This window comes from Homo sapiens, chromosome 6 (assembly GCF_000001405.40).
Source record: "Homo sapiens chromosome 6, GRCh38.p14 Primary Assembly".
Classification (NCBI taxonomy): Eukaryota; Metazoa; Chordata; class Mammalia; order Primates; family Hominidae; genus Homo; species Homo sapiens.
Genome location: NC_000006.12, coordinates 33,340,463 through 33,358,102, shown reverse-complemented (window position 1 = coordinate 33,358,102; position 17,640 = coordinate 33,340,463). Strand labels below are relative to the sequence as shown.

The window sequence follows — 17,640 nt, the reverse complement described above, 5'->3', positions numbered from 1 at the left end:
TGATGAGACAGGGTGCACAGGCTGAAAGAGGTAGAATAACTTCCCCAAAGCCCAACAGCTAAAACATGAAAGAGCCGGGATTCGGCCGCCCCGTCTGGGAAGTGGGCGCCTCTGCCCGGCCACCCCGTCTGGGAGGTGAGGAGCGCCTCTGCCAGGCTGCCCTGTCTGGGAAGTGTACGCAACAGCTCTGAAGAGACAGCGACCATCGAGAACGGGCCATGATGACGATGGCGGTTTTGTCGAAAAGAAAAGGGGGAAATGTGGGGAAAAGAAAGAGAGATCAGATTGTTACTGTGTCTGCATAGAAAGAAGTAGACATAGGAGACACCATTTTGTTCTATACTAAGAAAAATTCTTCTGCCTTGGGATGCTGTTAATCTATAACCTTACCCTCAACCCTGTGCTCTCTGAAACATGTGCTGTGTCAACTCAGGGTTAAATGGATTAAGGGCGGTGCAAGATGTGCTTTGTTAAACAGATGCTTGAAGGCAGCATGCTTAAGAGTCATCACCACTCCCTAATCTCAAATACCCAGGGACACAAACACTGCCGAGGGCCGCAGGGACTTCTGCCTAGGAAAACCAGAGACCTTTGTTCACGTGTTTATCTGCTGACCTTCTCTCCACTACTATCCTATGACCCTGCCACATCCCCCTCTCTGAGAAACACCCAAGAATGATCAATAAATACTAAAAAAAAAAAAAAAAAAAAAAAAAAAAGAGCAAGAGCCGGGATTCAAACCCTGCTCCTTGGTACTGCTAACCTCACCGTCGTTTCTCTACATTGGGTGCCTCTTGAGCGATTGTGCTAACACTACATGGAGAGGACTCTATAAAGATGACTACTTTCTTCCTTGTGGGAGTTTTTATTTTATTTTAATTTTTTGAGACAAGGTCTCGCTCCGTTGCCCAGGCTGGGTTGTAGTGGCACGATCTTGGCTCACTGCAGCCTCAACCGCCCTGGACTCCCATCTTGACCTCCAGAGTAGCTGGAACTACAGGCGCATGCCACCACTCCCAGCATTCTCCTGCCTCAGCCTCCCGAGTAGCTGGGACTACAGGCGCCCGCCACCACAGCGGGCTAATTTAGAGACGGGGTTTCACCGTGTTAGCCAGGATGGTCTCGATCTCCTGACCTCGTGATCCGCCCACCTCGGCTTCCCAAAGTGCTGGGATTACAGGCATGAGCCACCGCGCCCGGCCTGAAGTTTCTTAGCCACAGTGCTTTTAAACATTTTATAAAAAAGCAAAACAAATATTCCTTACTGCTGCGTCTATCTTCTGAAGATGACAGCAGCTGGCAGAGCTTGTCCACCTCAGCCTAGCTAGCATTTAAATATGGCTATAGGAGAGCGTCCCTTATTAGCGGGCTCCTCCCCCAGGGCTCTGTACTCTAGGCTGCTCCACACTCCTTTGCCCACCTTAGGCTAGTAAGGTCGGGGTGTACATGGACTGTTTCTTAGCCCTTTCCCTAGGGGGCCAGGGGAGACAAGGAATTGCTTGTCAACTGAGACATGTGAGGGGTGGCAGGGAAGGGCAGAAGTAGGAAAAGCAGCAGCACAGCAAGCAGCAGGCCACTTCCTGGGCACAGTTACTAAGGCAGGTGACCATGGTGAGGAGGATCCTCAGGACTGGGCTGGAGCTGCCTGCAGCCACCTGGGGACTCAGTCTGCGCCTTTTGGCCTCCCCTCCGTCACCACAAACCCAGAAAGGGGCAACCTGCCCAGACTGCCAGTGGCCAAATGGGCACTCCATGGCATCTTAGCATCTCTCCTGCTCCAGGCCTCTGTGGGCAGCAAGAAAGCTAGAGCTACCTGGGATAAAACCGAGGAGGCAGCATGCAACTTCCTCTTATATTCCAGGGTATTAGATATGAGTTCTAAATTTCTTTTCAAATAATTGTCATTATGTTCAATTCTTTACCTTCTACTTTTAAACTTAACTTCCTCGTAAAGCAATCTTTTTTGATTACCTACTCCACCCTGACTCATTCTGATCTCCTGCTCCACCCTAACTCATTTTGATCACCTGCCACCTGCTCTGCCCTGACTCCCGCCAAAGCACTCATCCCGTCATTCTCTTTAAATTAGCCAGTCAGAATTAGTTTAGCCTGTGCTGTCTAACCCTAGCCAATAGGGGAACGAAACAGCAGCAGGGGCCACGTGCATTAGGGATAAGAACCCCTTCCCCTCCCTTGTCCAAGTGTGCGCTCACCATTGTTCCATCTGTAAGGGTGCACCCTTCTATATAGAAGTACCTAGCCTTGCTGAGAATTAAAAGGAAAATTTTATATTTGAGTGATATTCCTTTTGCGGCACCGAAACTTTATATATAACAATTTGGGGGCTTGTCTGGGATTACATTCCCCTCTGGGGGTGGTCTCTGGTTCTCTCTCTTGAGGAGGTGAACCCCGCCCTATTGTGGCGGCCTCAGGCGTGAAAAATCAAGACCTACCCAGTGCAAGGAATAACCCAAGCTCTCAGCAATGCAGGAAAAAAAAAAAAGGCCATCAACCTTTTGGGGTGATCAGACCCAACACCAGGCCGTGGGGGCTACGAAGTCCAGCAGAGTCAAAGGAATGAGAAAACACAAGTTCAGAGAGAAAGTGGGACCAGGGGGCCAATACTAGTATGGAGGTTGCAAAGGCCCGGAGCTCTGGAAGCCCACACTATTTATTGGTGATCAAACAAACAGGGGGTGAGGATGTGGGGGTTGAAAGGAAGCGATGTATCAAGCTAATGAACTACAGATGTGATGGTTTAGCATTTTCTTTGAAATGTATGGCTACTTGAGATAATGGGAGTGCTAGAAGCAAGAAGCCAGCAAGTCTGGACACATTCCAAAGGCCACCAGGGGTGTTACCCTGAATGTAAAACTATTGAAGAAACAATTTATGTGCAAGATGTATAAGGAAAGTAAAATATACTTTTAGTAAAAGGATTATAAGGAGGCATAAGAATGTGGATTTTTACCTACATTAAAAGGTTAAAAAAAAATTTTGTGGCCAGGCATGGTGGCTCACACCTGTAATCCTACCTAGCACTTTGGGAGGCCGAGGTGGGTGGATCACCTGAGATCAGGAGTTTGAGACCAGCCTGGCCAACCTGGTGAAACCCCGTCTCAACTAAAAATACGAAAATTAGCTGGGCGTTGTGGTGGGCACCTGTAATCCCAGCTACTCACTCAGGAGGCTGAGGCAGGAGAATCACTTGAACGTGGGAGGCGGAGGTTGCAGTGAGCCAAGATCGCACCATTGCACTCCAGCCTGGGTGACAGAGTGGGACTCCATCTCAAAAAAGAAAAAAAAAATTTGTTTTGAAGGTTTAAGCAAGTTTTAAAATGTTAATTGTAATGGAAATTATGTGTGTAAACATATTGGCTAAGGTTAAAAGGGTATCACCCAGTTTTTCTGTGAACTGAGCATTAAAATAAAAACACAACGGGTTTTTCTTAAAGCACTAACCCGCTGTTTAACAAAAATTATAAAAAGTTAAAAACAGGCCAGGCTCAGTGGCTCATGCCTGTAATCCCAGCACTTTGGGAGGCCGAGGCAGGCAGATCACCTGAGGTCGGGAGTTCGAGACCAGCCTGACCAACATGGAGAAACCCCCATCTCTGCTAAAAATCCAAAATTAGCTGGGTGTGGTGGTGCATGCCTGTAATCCCAGCTACTTGGGAGGCTGAGACAGGAGAATTCCTTGAACCCGGGAGGCAGAGATTGCAGTGAGCCAAGATTGCACCATTGCACTCCAGCCTGGGCAACAAGAGTGAAACTCCTTCTCAAAAAGAAAAAAAAAAACAGTCTATAAAAATCTTACCTTATGGGCCGGGCACGGTGGCTCACGCCTATAATCCCAGCACTATGGGAGGCCGAGGTGGGTGGATCATGAGGTCAGGAGATAGAGACCACCCTGGCTAACAAGTAAAACCCTGTCTCTACTAAAAATACAAAAAATTAGCCAGGCGTGGTGGTGGGCGCCTGTAGTCCCAGCTACTTGGGAGGCTGAGGCAGGAGAATGGCGTGAACCCGAGAGGTGGAGCTTGCAGTGAGCCGAGATCGTGCCACTGCATTTCAGCCTGGGCGACAGAGCAAGACTCCATCTCAAAAAAAAAAAAAAAAACAAAAAACAAAAACTTACCTTATGATCAGACATTAAAAATTGGATAAATATGTCTACAAAGTGTTATTAAAACTAAGTTTAACATTAATAGGCCGGGCGCGGTGGCTCACGCTTGTAATCCCAGCACTTTGGGAGGCCAAGGCGGGCAGATTGCCTGAGCTCAGGAGTTCGCGACCAGCCTGGGCAACAAGGTGAAACCCCGTCTCTACTAAAATACAAAAAAATTAGCCGGGCGTGGCAGCGTGTGCCTGTAGTCCCAGCTACTTGGGAGGCTGAGGCAGGAGAACTGCTTGAACCCGGGAGGCAGAGGTTGCAGTGAGCCAAGATCGCGCCACTGCACTCCAGCCTGGGCAACAGAGTGAGACTCCGTTTCAAAAAAAAAAATTAATAACACACTAATATAAAGGTGAAATTTAGCTTATCTGGTATAAAAATCATACAGGAAGCACTGTCAAATATAAAATGGTGTTTGGCGTTCTTTGGTCTAAAAAAACTAATAAAAATAAGTGCTAAAGGAAATTTCTCAGTAAGAAGGCACCAAGGACTATAAAGTCCACTGCTGATGTCCCCACATTTAAAACAAAAGGTCGATTTCTTAGAAATTATATGCTTGGTTTATCTTCCACTTTCCTCTCCCTCAAAACTAAAAATATTTTAGCACAGGTACCACCCCTAAAATTTCTGGTAAACCAGCACCAGCCTGAAGATCATGTTGTCATCAGAGGGTGGAAAGAAGGAAAACTCGAGCCAGCCTGGGAAGGACCCTACCTTGTGCTGCCAACCACCGAGACTGCAGTTTGTACAGCGAAAAAGGGATGGATTCATCACACCCGAGTCAAGAAAGCACCACCCCCTCCAGAGTTGTGGGCCATAGTCCCAGGGGGAAACCCTACCAAATTAAAGCTAAGAAAAATTTAACTCTTTCATCTATTCTATTACTCTTTCTCCTTTCCTCGCTCTATTGCTGACCATCTAGTTATTAACATAACCAAGTCAATTTCGCCTCAAACTATTGCATTTAGTGCTTGCCTTGTTATATCCCGTAGGAACTTGCCAAGTCAAAGACAGCTCTCTACTTCTGAAAAGTACCTCTGTCCCTCCTGACTCTCCTCACACTGGGCATTAGTAAATTAGGACCACTGAATCCGGGGGGATTTCGATAAAGATCCCAATGTCAACCAGGATTCTTGACCCCCAATGTAGAGCTTTTATGCCGTAGTCGGTCCAACGTTCTGTGGATCACTAAAGAGCAAGTATGGACTGCCCCAATCAGTTTTTGTAATTTCCTAAAACCATATATTCATTTTACTAGAGGATCATAGAAGTTAAAGACTTAAAAAACATTTTGGCAATTAACACAGGATACCAAGATGCAAATGCCTGGTTGGAATGGATCAAATATTCCGTCCACATTAAACAAAAGCAATTGTTATGCTTGTGCACATGGCAGGCCAGAGGCCCAGATTGTCCCCTTTCCACTAAGGTGGTCCTCCAGTCGACCAGGTGTGGGCTGCATGGTAGCTCTTTTCCAGGATTCTACAGCCTGGAGTAATAACTCACGCCAAGCTCTCTCTCTGCTATATCCTGAAGTCCGGCACCCTGCGCGTCAGCCCCCGAGGGCCATCCAGCTTCTGTCTCCCAACACTAAGTTCACTTCGTGTCTCTCCCAATAGGGAGGAAACTTAGCATTCCTTGGAGACCTGAAGGATGCAGTGAGCTTAAGAATTTTCAAGAGCTTATCAATCAGTCAGCCCTTGTTCATCCCCGAGTGGATGTGTGGTGGTATTGTGGTGGATCTTTACTGGACACTGCCAAATAACTGGAATGGCACTTGTGCTTTATTCCAATTGGCTATCCCTTTCACCCTGTTATTTCATCAACGAGAGGAAGGAAAAATAAGTATCATAAAGCAAGAGAAGCCCTTTATGGGTCTTTCGACTCTCACGTCTATTTAGACACAATTAAGAGTCCCATGGGGAATACCAGATCAATTTAAAGCCCAAAATCAAATTGCTGCAGGATTTAAGTCAACATTTTGGTGGGTAACAATTAATAAAAGTGTAGATTGGGTAAACTACGTCTATTACAACCAATAGCGATTTATTAACTACACTAGAGATGCTGTTAGAGGAATAGCTGAACAATTAGGGGCTACTAGCCAGACGGCTTAGGAAAATAGTGTCACCGGCGTCTGTGTGAAGAGACCACCAAACAGGCTTTGTGTGAGCAATAAAGCTGTTTATTTCACCTGGGTGCAGGCGGGCTGAGTCCGAAAAGAGAGTCAGCAAAGGGTGGTGGGATTATCATTAGTTCTTATAGGTTTGGGATAGGCATACAAACTACATTCTTAAGGGCAGGGGAGAATATTACAAAGTACCTTCGTAAGGGTGGGGGAGAATATATTTATCAGTTAGGGTGGGACAGGAACAAATCACAATGGTGGAATGTCATCAGTTGAGGCTATTTTCACTTCTTTTGTGGATCTTTAATTGCTTCAGGCCATCTGGATGTATACCTGCAGGTCACAGGGGATATGATGGCTTAACTTGGGCTCAGAGGCCTGACATTCCTATCTCCTTATATTAATAAACAAAATAGTGGTGAAGTGTTGGGGCTGCGAAAATTTTTGGAGGTGGTATGGAGAGATAATGGGTGATGTTTCTCAGGGCTTCTTCGAGCGGGATTAGGGGCGGTGTGGGAGCCTAGAGTGGGAGATATTAAGCTGAAGGAAGATTTTGTGGTAAGGGGTGATATTGTGGGGTTGTTAGAAGGAGCATTTGTTGCCCGGTGTGGTGGCTGACGCCTATAATCCCAGCACTTTGGGAGGCTGAGGCGGGCGGATCACCTAAGGTCAGGAGTTCAAGACCAGCCTAGCTGACATGGTGAAACCCCATCTCTCCAAAAAAAAAAAAAAACAAAAATTAGCCGGACATGATGGCGGGTGCCTGTAATCCTAGCTACTCAGGAGGCTGAGGTGGGAGAATTGCTTGAACCCCAGGAGGTGGAGGTTGCAATGAGCTGAGATCGCGCCACTGCACTCCAGCCTGGGTGACAGAGTGAGACTCTGTCTCAAAAAAAAAAAAAAAAAAAAGAAAAGACAGCTGGAAAAGAATGGTTATCATCTTTAGGAAAAAAAAAATGGCTGGGCACGGTGTCTCACGCCTGTAATCCCAGAAGGAGCATTTGTCGTATACAATGATTGGCGATGGCCTGGATACAGTTTTGGATGAATTGAGAGACTAAACGGAAGATACAAGGTCCGAATAAGGGAAGGAGAAAAACAGGTATTAAAGGACTAAGAATTGGGAGCACCCAGGACATCCAATTAGAGAGTGCCCAAGGGGGTTCAGAGTAATTACTTGCTTGGTTGGCGAGTTTTTGGCCTCTATCCTTGAGTTCTTTTATGTTGTCATACACCAGGCCAGATTGATTTAGGTAAAAACAACACTCTTCATTAAAAAATATACAGAGTCCTCCTTTTTCAGCAGTGAGTAAGTCAAGGCCTCGGTGGTTTTGGAGGACAACTGCAGCTAAAGAGTCAACTTGGGCCTGAAGGACTGATAAAGTTTGTGATATGTGTGTGATGCTAGCAGAGAAGTCATTAGAGAGGCTATGGAAGGTCGTGACAGAGGTTGAAATGCCTACTATTCCAGTACCGAGAGCAATAGTGGAGGCAGAAAGTCCTAAACCGACAAGCAAGGGAATTAGCGGAATAACTCTTTTTTGTTGTGTCGGTGTCATGAGGGGAACAGGAAGATGTTCAGTCCCATTTGCAAATTGATTTTGGGAGTAAGGAAAACTAGTGTGCATGTGCCTGTCCAATTAGCAGGTAGACACATGTAGGTAGAGGATCCACAGAGGAAGAAGAGACCTTGTGCGGAGCAAAACCGGAAATGCAAAGTAAAAAGATGAGAAGGAGTGCTGAAAGAGGTGTCTTGTACCCAGACTCCTAGGGATCCAGCTAGGGCGGCAGCCGTCAGAGGTTGTAATGGGGACTGATGGGGTAACTACGTAGAGGGGGAGGTTTGATTTTCATGGTGTATGAGAAAACTTTGAGTGTCTACGAGCAACCTTTCACTGTTATTTACGGGGCTGAGTATAAGCAAACAAGAAGAGGGCCTGGGAGGAGAGTCTGACAAGCAAGGGGAAGGTAGCCAAGGATGGAGTGAAATACAGGGTAAGTGTCTTCCTAAGCAATAATAACTGCTAATGTGTTTAAGTTTGCCAGTATTGATAGAGGGCTTATCTGTAATACAGAGCTGGGAGGCTCCAATTGTTTCAGTGATGTGTGTAGTTGGGCTTCGGAGATGAAGAGTAAAGGAACATCGAGAAGGTGAAAGATTACCTAGGGGAATTCCAGTGGGTCTTTGCCGAGAGATACATAAAGGAACGGCCACAGGAATAGTAGTTTGTGTTGTGAGGGGTCCAAATATGGGGGGAGTAGAGTTGATATAAGGAGAAAGGTTTTTTAAGTAAGTGTGGAGGAGGGCGGCAGCTTGCTGAAGTGAAATGTCTGGGGAAGTCTTGCTGGACCTGTCTAGAAAGTAAAGAAGTTCTTTAGGAAGGTAAAGGTGAGGGCTGTTAAAGGAAGTTTGGAGGTGTAGGGAGATAGGAGAGGTTGCCCAGTCTGTATGTAAGGCGGGGACAGCTGTGTAGGCGCAGGAAGAAAGGGAAATGCAAATTCAGCAATGGTTTGATGAGGGATTAGAAACGGCTAGGAGAGAGTGAATGAGATTGATAGTGTGGTGGAGCTAGCTGGGGAGAGGTAGAGGGTGGCATAAAAATGGGAACAAGAATAGGAGTGAGTATAAAAGTAAAGAATAGGACTTCATCAGGGTGAAAGTATTGGAGTGTGCCCTGCCAGCAAATATTATTTATTTACTTTAAGAGGGAGTTAAGAGTGGCGGTCTGGGGATAGCACCAGGAGATACCAGCTGTGACGGCTTGGAGAAACAGTGTAAACCGGCAGTGTAAACAAGAGCAGGGCATTTATGAGTAGTTGAGAATGGTGAATAGGAGTATGACTAGACAGAAGATAGAAGGGATGACAAGTTTTTGGGGTGCAGTCCGAGTTGGGCTGGTGTCTGGAATAAGACTGGGGCCTAATAAAAAGGAGCATCCATACAGGAGCTCAAATGGGCTGTATCCTGCAGCATTCCGAGGACAGGCCCGAATTCTGAGAAGGGCAAGTGGTAAAAGTACTGTCCAGTCTTTTTAAGTTGGAGGCTGAGCTTGGTGAGGTGTGTCTTTAAAAGACTATTAGTCTGTTTTACTTTTTCTGAAGATTGAGGATGGTAAGGGGTATGAAGGTTCCACTGAATACCAAGAGCCTGAGAAACTGCTTGGGTGATTTGACTAATAAAGGCCAGTCTGTTATTGGACTGTATAGAGGTGGGAAGGCCAAAGCGAGGAATTATGTCTGACAGAAGGGAAGAAATGACCGCAGTGGCCTTCTCAGACCCTGTTGGAAAGGCCTCTACCCATCCAGTGAAAGTGTCTACCCAGACCAAGAGGTATTTTAGTTTCCTGACTTGGGGCATGTGAGTAAAGTCAATTTGCCAGTCCTGGGCAGGGGCAAATCCCTGAGCTTGATGTGTAGGGAGGGGAGGGAGCCTGAACACTCCCTGAGGAGTAGTAGAATAGCAGATGGAACACTAAGAAGTGATTTCCTTGAGGATAGATTTCCACGATGGAAAGGAAATGAGAGGTTCTAAGAGGTGGGCTAGCAGCTTGTAACTTACATGGAAGAGGTTATGAAATGACAGCAGAATAGAATGGGCCTGTGAGGCTGTTAGGAGATATTTTCCTTGGTCCAAGAACCATTTGCCTTGTGTGGGAAGAGACTGATAGGTAGAAGTTTCAGCAGGAGAGTAGGTGGGAGTGACCCATGAGAATGAGAAAAATTGGCCGTGAGGGACAGAATTTGGAATGCTAGCTGCTTCTTTAGCTACCTTATCAGCAAAAGCATTGCCCTGAGCGATGGGATCTGACGCCTTTTGATGGCCCTTGGAGTAAATGACTCCAGCTTCCTTTGGAAGTAAAGCGGCCTTGAGAAGAGTTTTTATTAAAGAGGCATTAATGACAGAGGACCCTTGCGTAGTGAGGAAACCTCTTTTTGCCCATATAACAATATGGTGGTGCAGGATATGGAAGGCATATTTAGAGTTGTATAAATATTGACATGTAGTCCCTTTGCAAAAGTGAGGGCTCGAGTTAAGGCAATGAGTTCAGCTTGCTGAGAGGTAGTGGAGAGGGGCAGAGCAGTAGCCTCAATGATAGATGTGGAAGATACTATAGCATAGCCTGCCTTTGCTGGTGTGTGGCAATTAGGCCTGGTAGAACTACCATCAATAAACCAAGTGTGATCAGGGTGAGGAACAGGAAAGAAGGAAATACGGGGAAATGGGGTGAATGTCAGGTGGATCAGAGAGATACAGTCATGGGGGTCAGGTGTGGTATCAGGAATAATGTGGGAGGCTGGATTGAAGTCCTGGCCAGGAACAATGGTAACTGTGGGAGACTCAACAAAGAATGAGTACAGCTGAAGGAGCCGGGGAGCAGAAAGTATACGTGTTAGATGTGAGGAAGAAAATAGATTTATGAGAACTGTAGAGAGTGAGTTGAGCATAGTTTGTGATTTTGAGGGCCTGTAAAAGTATTAGGGCAGTGGCAGCCACTGCACGGAGACATGATGGCCAGCCTAAAACAGTAAGTCAAGTTGTTTGGACAAAAAGGCTACAGGGTGCGGTCCTGGTCCTTGTGTAAGAATTCTGACTGTACAGCCCTGCACTTCGGCTGTGTGTAATGAAAAGGGTCGGGATGAGTCATGGAGAGCTAGTGTGGGAGCTGTGTTTTAAGGAATGGAAAGGGGAGAGGAGAAAGGATTTAGGATCTATGGGGTCAGCTAGGTTTATCTAGAACAGAATAATGGGTTGTGGAGGGAGGTATTGAGGATAGGAGAGTATATGGGTTTGGCACCACAGGGTGGATAGGCAAAACAATTTGGTCGATATGGCGCAGATCCTGAACTAACCTGTAAGGCTTATCTGGTTTTTGGACAGGTAAAATGGGGGAATTGTAAGGAGAGTTTATAGGCTTTAAAAGGCCATGCTGTAACAGGTGAGTGATAACAGGATTTAATCCTTTTAAAGCATGCTGTGGGATGGGATACTGGCATTGAGCGGGGTAAGGGTGATTAGGTTTTAATGGGATAGTAATGGGCGTGGATAGTTCACCAGGGAGGGAGTAGAGGTGTCCCATACCTGTGGATTAAGGTGAGGAGATAAAAGAGAAGGACGTGAAGGAGGCTTTGAACTGGGGAAAAGGGCAGCAACGAAATGTGGCTGTAGCCTAGGATTAGTCAGGGAAGCAGATAATTTAGTTAAAATGTCTCGACCTAATAAGGGAGCTGGGCAGGTGGGGATAACTAAAAAGGAGTGCATAAAAGAATATTGTCCAAGTTGGCACCAGAGTTGGGGAGTTTTAAGAGGTTTAGAAGCCTGGCCATGAATACCCACAACAGTTATGGAGGCAAAGGAAATAGGCCTTTGAAAAGAAGGTAATGTGGAGTTGGTAGCCTCCATATTGATTAAGAAGGGTGACTTACCCTCCACTGTAAGAGTTACCCAAAGTGTCCGTGATGGCCCGGGAGGCTTCGAAGGTGATCAGACAGCATCAGTCTTCAGCCGCTAAGCTGAGAAGATCTGGGAAGGAGTCAGTCAGAGAGTCTTGGGCCAGAGATCCCAGAGCTCTGGGAGTGACTGCGAGGCGAGTGGGACAGTCTGATTTTCAGTGGGGTCCTGCACAGATGGGACACGGCTTAGGAGGAATCCCGGGCTGTGGGCATTTCTTGGCCCAGTGGCCAGATTTCTGGCACTTGAAGCAAGATCCTGATGAAGAAGGTCCTGTAGGAATGCTTGACCACTGCGGTTTAGGCATGTGCGGCTTAGGCATTTTGAAGTTCTCGTGTGCTGGAGGTGCAGCTGGGTTTTGTCTCACAGCAGAGGCAAGTAATTGTAACTTTTCTCTATTATTGTACACCTTGAAGGCAAGGTTAATTAAGTCCTGTTGTGGGGTGACGTGCACCTGTAATCCCAGCTATTCAGGAGGCTGAGGCAGGAGAATAGCTTGAACCAGGGAGGTGGAGGTTGCAGTGAGCCGGGATCACGCTACTGCACTCCAGCCTGGGCGACAGAGTGAGACTCCATCTCAAAAAAAAAAAAAAATTATTCTTTGTTCATTTCCTGACCCATGATAACCGAACCCCTGGTATTTTTCGCGTGGGTCCTGTCCACCTGATGGTAGTCAGGACTGTCCCTTACCGGGATTTTCTTAAAATTGATGAGCTCTCCTCCTTTCACGCATAACTTCAAGGCGATCACGTCGGGTGCACCACTTGCAGAGTTTATAGCTTGCAGTGAACGCCAAGAATGAGTTCTTAGACAATTCCAGCTGAGTGGGGCCGGGGGAATGGGGGGGGCATTTCTTCTAAGAGAACCCGCCCCAGCATCCGTCTGCCAAGTATTTATTGAAAGTGCTTGTTAAACCACAAACATCCACTAGATGGCTTTTTGAGGTCGGGTCGTGAGACACCTGCGGCCTCGTAAAAGCACTCAAACCGCATTCTCAGGAGGCTGTTTTCAGCGTTCCTTATCACACCACACACTCCACTCCCTGTCCTGTTTTCAGGGTCAAGGAATTTCATTCTCACGCACAAATAACATACACACAGTGCCTCAGTATTCTTCCATGCCCCGACCTCAGATGCCATGTACATAAGCTTGAATATGTTGCTGTGCACCCCCCACACTCAAGTGTCCCCACCCCTTTAAATATGTTGTGTGGGGCTAGTTCTTCCATTGCCCATGAAAGATAACTCAGGCAGGCCACAGAGCATACCTGCTCAATCCTTGGAACAAAAAAAAAAATCCTCCAAGCATCATTCTGAATTACGTTTTTTCTCTCGGCCAGCTCCGACTGAGTGGTTTGACATGGGAAGCTGCCAGTGTGAAACTGGCAGAGTGGCTGGCTTCCTCAAGAATTTCTTTCTTGCCTTCCTGTGTCTGACTCTCCACCCTCTCCCTCACAGCCAGAAGCAGAGGAGGTGAGGGGGACAAAATGCTTTACCTGACGGCCATACACTGGAAGTGGTTTTGGTTTCCTCTGGCTGTGGTGGATGTTCAAATTGACTTTTGCTCTTGTGCGATGTTTGTGTGTCTTTTATAAACTCCCAGTAGCTGAATATCTCTCACTTATACTCTGTAGCCCAAACTTTGAATTATATTATTTTATTTTTTAACTTTTACTTTAGGTTCAGGGGTACATGTGTAGGTTCCTTATATAGGTAAAGTGTGTGTCATGGGGCTTTGGTGTACAGGTAATTTAATCACCCAAGTAACAAGCATAGTACCTGATAGGTCCCACCTTGAATTTGTCTAGGTGTTAGATTGGCTGCAGTTCTCTACCACTTCCTGTTATCTGAGGCCTTTACAGTGTGCCTTGGTGGCTAGTCACTCTCACCAAAAGGTAGAGTTTAGGAGGGCATGGTGGCTCCCACCTGGAATCCCAGCTACTTGGGAGGCTGAGACAAAAGGATCACTTGAACCCAGGAGGTCGAGGCTGCAGTGAACCATCCATGTTCATGCCACTGCACTCTAGCCTGGGCAACAGAGAAAGATCCTGTCTCAAAACAAACAAAAAAACATGGCAAAACCCTGTCTCTACTAAAAATACAGAAATCAGCCGGTGGTGGCATGCACCTGTAATCACAGCTATTGGCTGAGGCATGAGAATGGCTTGAACCTAGGAGGTGGAGGTTGCATTGAGCCGAGATCATGCCACTGCACTCCAGGCTGAGCGATGGAGAGAGACTCTGTCTCAAAAAAAAAAAAAAAAAAAAAGTTTGATAACACACTCAGCTGATGGGGTGGGGAAAGGAAACTGGTACTGTCACACATTGCCGACAGGAAGGAAGGTACACTGGTGCGGCTTCTACAGAAAGCATTTTAAAAATATCTACCCAAATCAAGTATTTACGTATTCTTTGACCTAGCAATTCTACTTCAAAGAACATACATTTACACTAGACATTTTTTTTTTGAGATGGAGTCTTGCTCTAGAGTGCGGTGGCACAATCTCAGCTCACTACAACCTCCGCCTCTGCCTCCCAGGTTCAAGCAGTCTTCCTGCCTCAGTCAGCCTCCTGAGTAGCTGGGATTACAGGTGCGCACCACCACGCACAGCTAATTTTTGTATTTTTTGTAGACAGGGTTTTACCATGTTAGCCCGGCAAGTCTTAAACTCCTGACCTCAAGTGATCCACCTGCCTTGGCCTCCCAAAGTGCTGGGATTATAGGTGTGAACCACCACGCCTGGCCTACACTGGACATTTTTGAGAGTCAAGGGAGCACTATAACAAACAAGGGGTCGGGTGCGGTGGCTCACTCCTATAATCCCAGCACTTTGGGAGGCCAAGGTAGGTGGATCACTTGAGCCCAAGAATTTGAGACTACTCTGGGTAACATATTGAGAGAACTCATCTCCATTAAATTAAATTTAAAAAAAAAAAAAAAAAAAGAGGCTGGGCGTGGTGGCTCAAGCCTGTAATCTCAGCACTTTGGGAGGCCAAGTCAGAAGGATCATGAGGTCAGGAGTTCGAGACCAGCCTGGCCAATATGGTGAAACCCCATCTCTACTAAAAATACAAAAATTAGCCAGGCATGGTGGTGTGCGCCTGTAGTCCAAGTTACTTGGGAGGCTGAGGCAGAAGAAAAACTTAAACCTGTGAGGTGAAGGTTGCAGTGAGCCGAGATTGGGCCACTGCACTCCAGCCTGGGCAACAGAACAAGACTCCGACTCCGAAAAAAAAAAAGAAGGAAGCACCTCTCTGTTTGATTTCAAGGTATTAAGTGAGGAAAAGCAAGGAAAAGAGTAGTGATCATGTATTTATATGTATGTATACATTTATACATATACACTTATATATATTAATACATGCTTATATATATAGACTCTATCTCTGCAAGTGCAGCAGATGTAGGTTGGTGGGAGGCTGACACGTGTACAATTTTGGATACCTGTTTTAAGAGAAAGAATACCAAAAGTATCCCAGCACTTTGGGAGGCCGAGGTGGGCAGATCACCTGAAGTCAGGAGTTTGAGACCAGCTTGGCCAACATGGCCAAACCCCATCTTTACTAAAAAAAAATATAAAAATTAGCCAGGCACGGTGGTGAGTGCCTATAATCCCAGTTACTCAGGAGGCTGAGGCAGGAGAATCGCTTGAACCCAGGAGGCGGAGGTTGCAGTGAGCTGAGATCACGCCACTGCACTCCAGCCAGGGCAACAGAACGAGACTCCGTCTCAAAAAAAAAAAAAAAACCAAAAGTATAAATACAAAATTAGGTACAGACCAGCCTGGCCAACATGGCAAAACACTGTCTCTACTAAAAAAATTCAAAAACTAGCCAGGCATGGTGGCAAATGCCAGTAAATCCCAGCTACTTGGGAGGCTGAGGCAGAGAATCATTTGAACCTGAGATGCAGAGATTGCAGTGAGCCAAGATCTCGTCACTGCACTGCAGGCTTCGTGACAGAGTCTCACTATGTTGCCCAAGCTGGAGTGCAGTGGTGTGATCATGGCTCACTGCAGCCTTGACCTCCAGGTCAGATGATCCTCCTGCCTCAGCCTCCTGAATAGCTGGAAACACAGGTGCACGCTACCGTGGTTTTTTTTTTTTCTTTTTTTTTCCTTTTTTTTTTAAACTGGGGTTTCACTCTTGTTGCCCAGGTTGGAGTGCAATGGTGTGATCTCAGCTCACCAGAACCTCTGCCTCCTGTCAAGTGATTCTCCTGTCTCAGCCTCCTGAGTAGCTGGGACTAGAGGCATGTGCCACTACATCAGGCTAATTTTGTATTTTTAGTAGAGACAGAGTTCACCATGTTGATCATGCTAGTCTCGAACTCCTGACCTAAGTTGATGTGCCCACCTCAGCCTCCCAAACTGCTGGGATTACAGGCATGAGCCACTGTGCCTGGCCATTTTTCTTTCTTTTTTGAGATTTCTTTTTTTTTTTTTTTTTTTGACAGAGTCTCTCCCTGTTGTCCAGGCTGGAGTGCAGTGGCACAATCTCGGCTCACTGCAAGCTCCGCCTCCCGGATTCACACCATTCTCTTGCCTCAGCCTCCCAAGTAGCTGGGACTAGAGGTGCCCGCCACCATGCCTGGCTAATTTTTTGTATTTTTAGTGGAAATGGGGTTTCACCATGTTAGCCGGGATGGTCTAGATCTCCTGACCTCGTGATCCACCCATCTCGGCCTCCCAAAGTGCTGGGATTACAGGCGTGAGCCACTGCGCCCGGCCATGGATTTCTTTTTTTTGAGAGGAAGTCTTGCTTTGTCACCCAGGCTGGAGTGCAAGTGGCCCAATCTTGGCTCACTGCAAAATCTCCGAAGTTCAAGCAATTCTCCTGCCTTAGCCTCACGAGTAACTGGGATTACAGGCATGCACCACCACACCCAGCTAATTTTTTTGTATTTTTAGTAGGGACGGGGTTTCATCATGTTGGTCAGGCTGGTCTCGAATTCCTAACCTCAAGTGATCTGCCCACCTTGGGATCCCAAAGTGCTGGGAATACAGGCATGAACCACCGCGACCGGCCCTGGCTAATGTTTTTTTTTTTCCTCTTGAGACAGAGTCTTTCTGTCACACAGGCTGGAATGCAATGGTGCGATCTTGGCTCACTGCAACTTCCACCTGCTGGGTTCAAATAATTCCCCTGTCTCAGCCTCCCAAGTAGCTGGGATTACAGGTGCGAGCCACCATGCCCCGCTAATTTTTTTTTGTATTTTTAGTAGAGATGGGGTTTCACCATTTTGGTCATGCTGGTCTCGAACTCCTGACCTCACATGATCTGCCTGCCCTGGCCTCCCAAAGTGCTGGGATTACAGGCATGAGCCACTGCGCCCTGCCTGTTAATTTTTAAATTATTTGTAGAGACAAGTCTCCCTATGTTACCCAGGTTGGTCTCAAATGTCTGGGCTCAAGCAATCCTCCTACCTCAGCCTCTTAAGTGTTGAGATTACAGGCATGAGCTACCGCACCTGGCCAAAATCTAGATCTTATAATTGGGTTCAAGTTTTTTTTTCTTTTTTCTTCTTTTTTTTTTTTGAGATGGAGTCTCACTCTGTCACCCAGGCTAGAGTGCAGTGGTGCGATCTCGGCTCACTGCAACCACCGCCTCCCAGGCTCAAGCGATTCTCCTGCCTCAGCCTCCTGCATAGCTGGGATTACAGGCACCCATGACCACACCCGACTAATTTTCGTGTTTTTAGTAGAGACAGGGTTTCACCATGTTGGCCAGGCTGGTCTTGAACTCCTGACCTCAAGTGATCTGGCTGCCTCAGCCTCCCAAAGTGCTGGGATTACAGGTGTGAGCCACTGCACCTGGCTCAAGTTTTCATTTCTCATATCCTGTTGATCTTACAACTCTTCTTCTTCTTCTGATACTCATTTTCTCTCAT

The 17,640-nt window shown here is 46.7% G+C and overlaps 5 annotated features.

Annotated features, from left to right (window-relative positions):
• Positions 100 to 696: an enhancer, noted in NCBI's record as "H3K27ac-H3K4me1 hESC enhancer chr6:33325184-33325780 (GRCh37/hg19 assembly coordinates)". NCBI's record gives its function as "activates a minimal SCP1, AML or CMV promoter by ChIP-STARR-seq in naive H9 embryonic stem cells {active_cell/tissue: H9 hESC(naive)}" and the evidence as "EXISTENCE:reporter gene assay evidence [ECO:0000049][PMID:30033119]".
• Positions 2,486 to 3,082: an enhancer, noted in NCBI's record as "OCT4-NANOG-H3K27ac hESC enhancer chr6:33322798-33323394 (GRCh37/hg19 assembly coordinates)". NCBI's record gives its function as "activates a minimal SCP1, AML or CMV promoter by ChIP-STARR-seq in naive H9 embryonic stem cells {active_cell/tissue: H9 hESC(naive)}" and the evidence as "EXISTENCE:reporter gene assay evidence [ECO:0000049][PMID:30033119]".
• Positions 8,280 to 8,779: an enhancer, noted in NCBI's record as "H3K27ac hESC enhancer chr6:33317101-33317600 (GRCh37/hg19 assembly coordinates)". NCBI's record gives its function as "activates a minimal SCP1, AML or CMV promoter by ChIP-STARR-seq in naive H9 embryonic stem cells {active_cell/tissue: H9 hESC(naive)}" and the evidence as "EXISTENCE:reporter gene assay evidence [ECO:0000049][PMID:30033119]".
• Positions 8,780 to 9,281: an enhancer, noted in NCBI's record as "H3K27ac hESC enhancer chr6:33316599-33317100 (GRCh37/hg19 assembly coordinates)". NCBI's record gives its function as "activates a minimal SCP1, AML or CMV promoter by ChIP-STARR-seq in naive H9 embryonic stem cells {active_cell/tissue: H9 hESC(naive)}" and the evidence as "EXISTENCE:reporter gene assay evidence [ECO:0000049][PMID:30033119]".
• Positions 10,824 to 11,024: a silencer, noted in NCBI's record as "peak5757 fragment used in MPRA reporter construct". NCBI's record gives its function as "represses an SCP1 promoter by STARR-seq MPRAs in K562 erythroleukemia cells {active_cell/tissue: K562}" and the evidence as "EXISTENCE:reporter gene assay evidence [ECO:0000049][PMID:32103011]".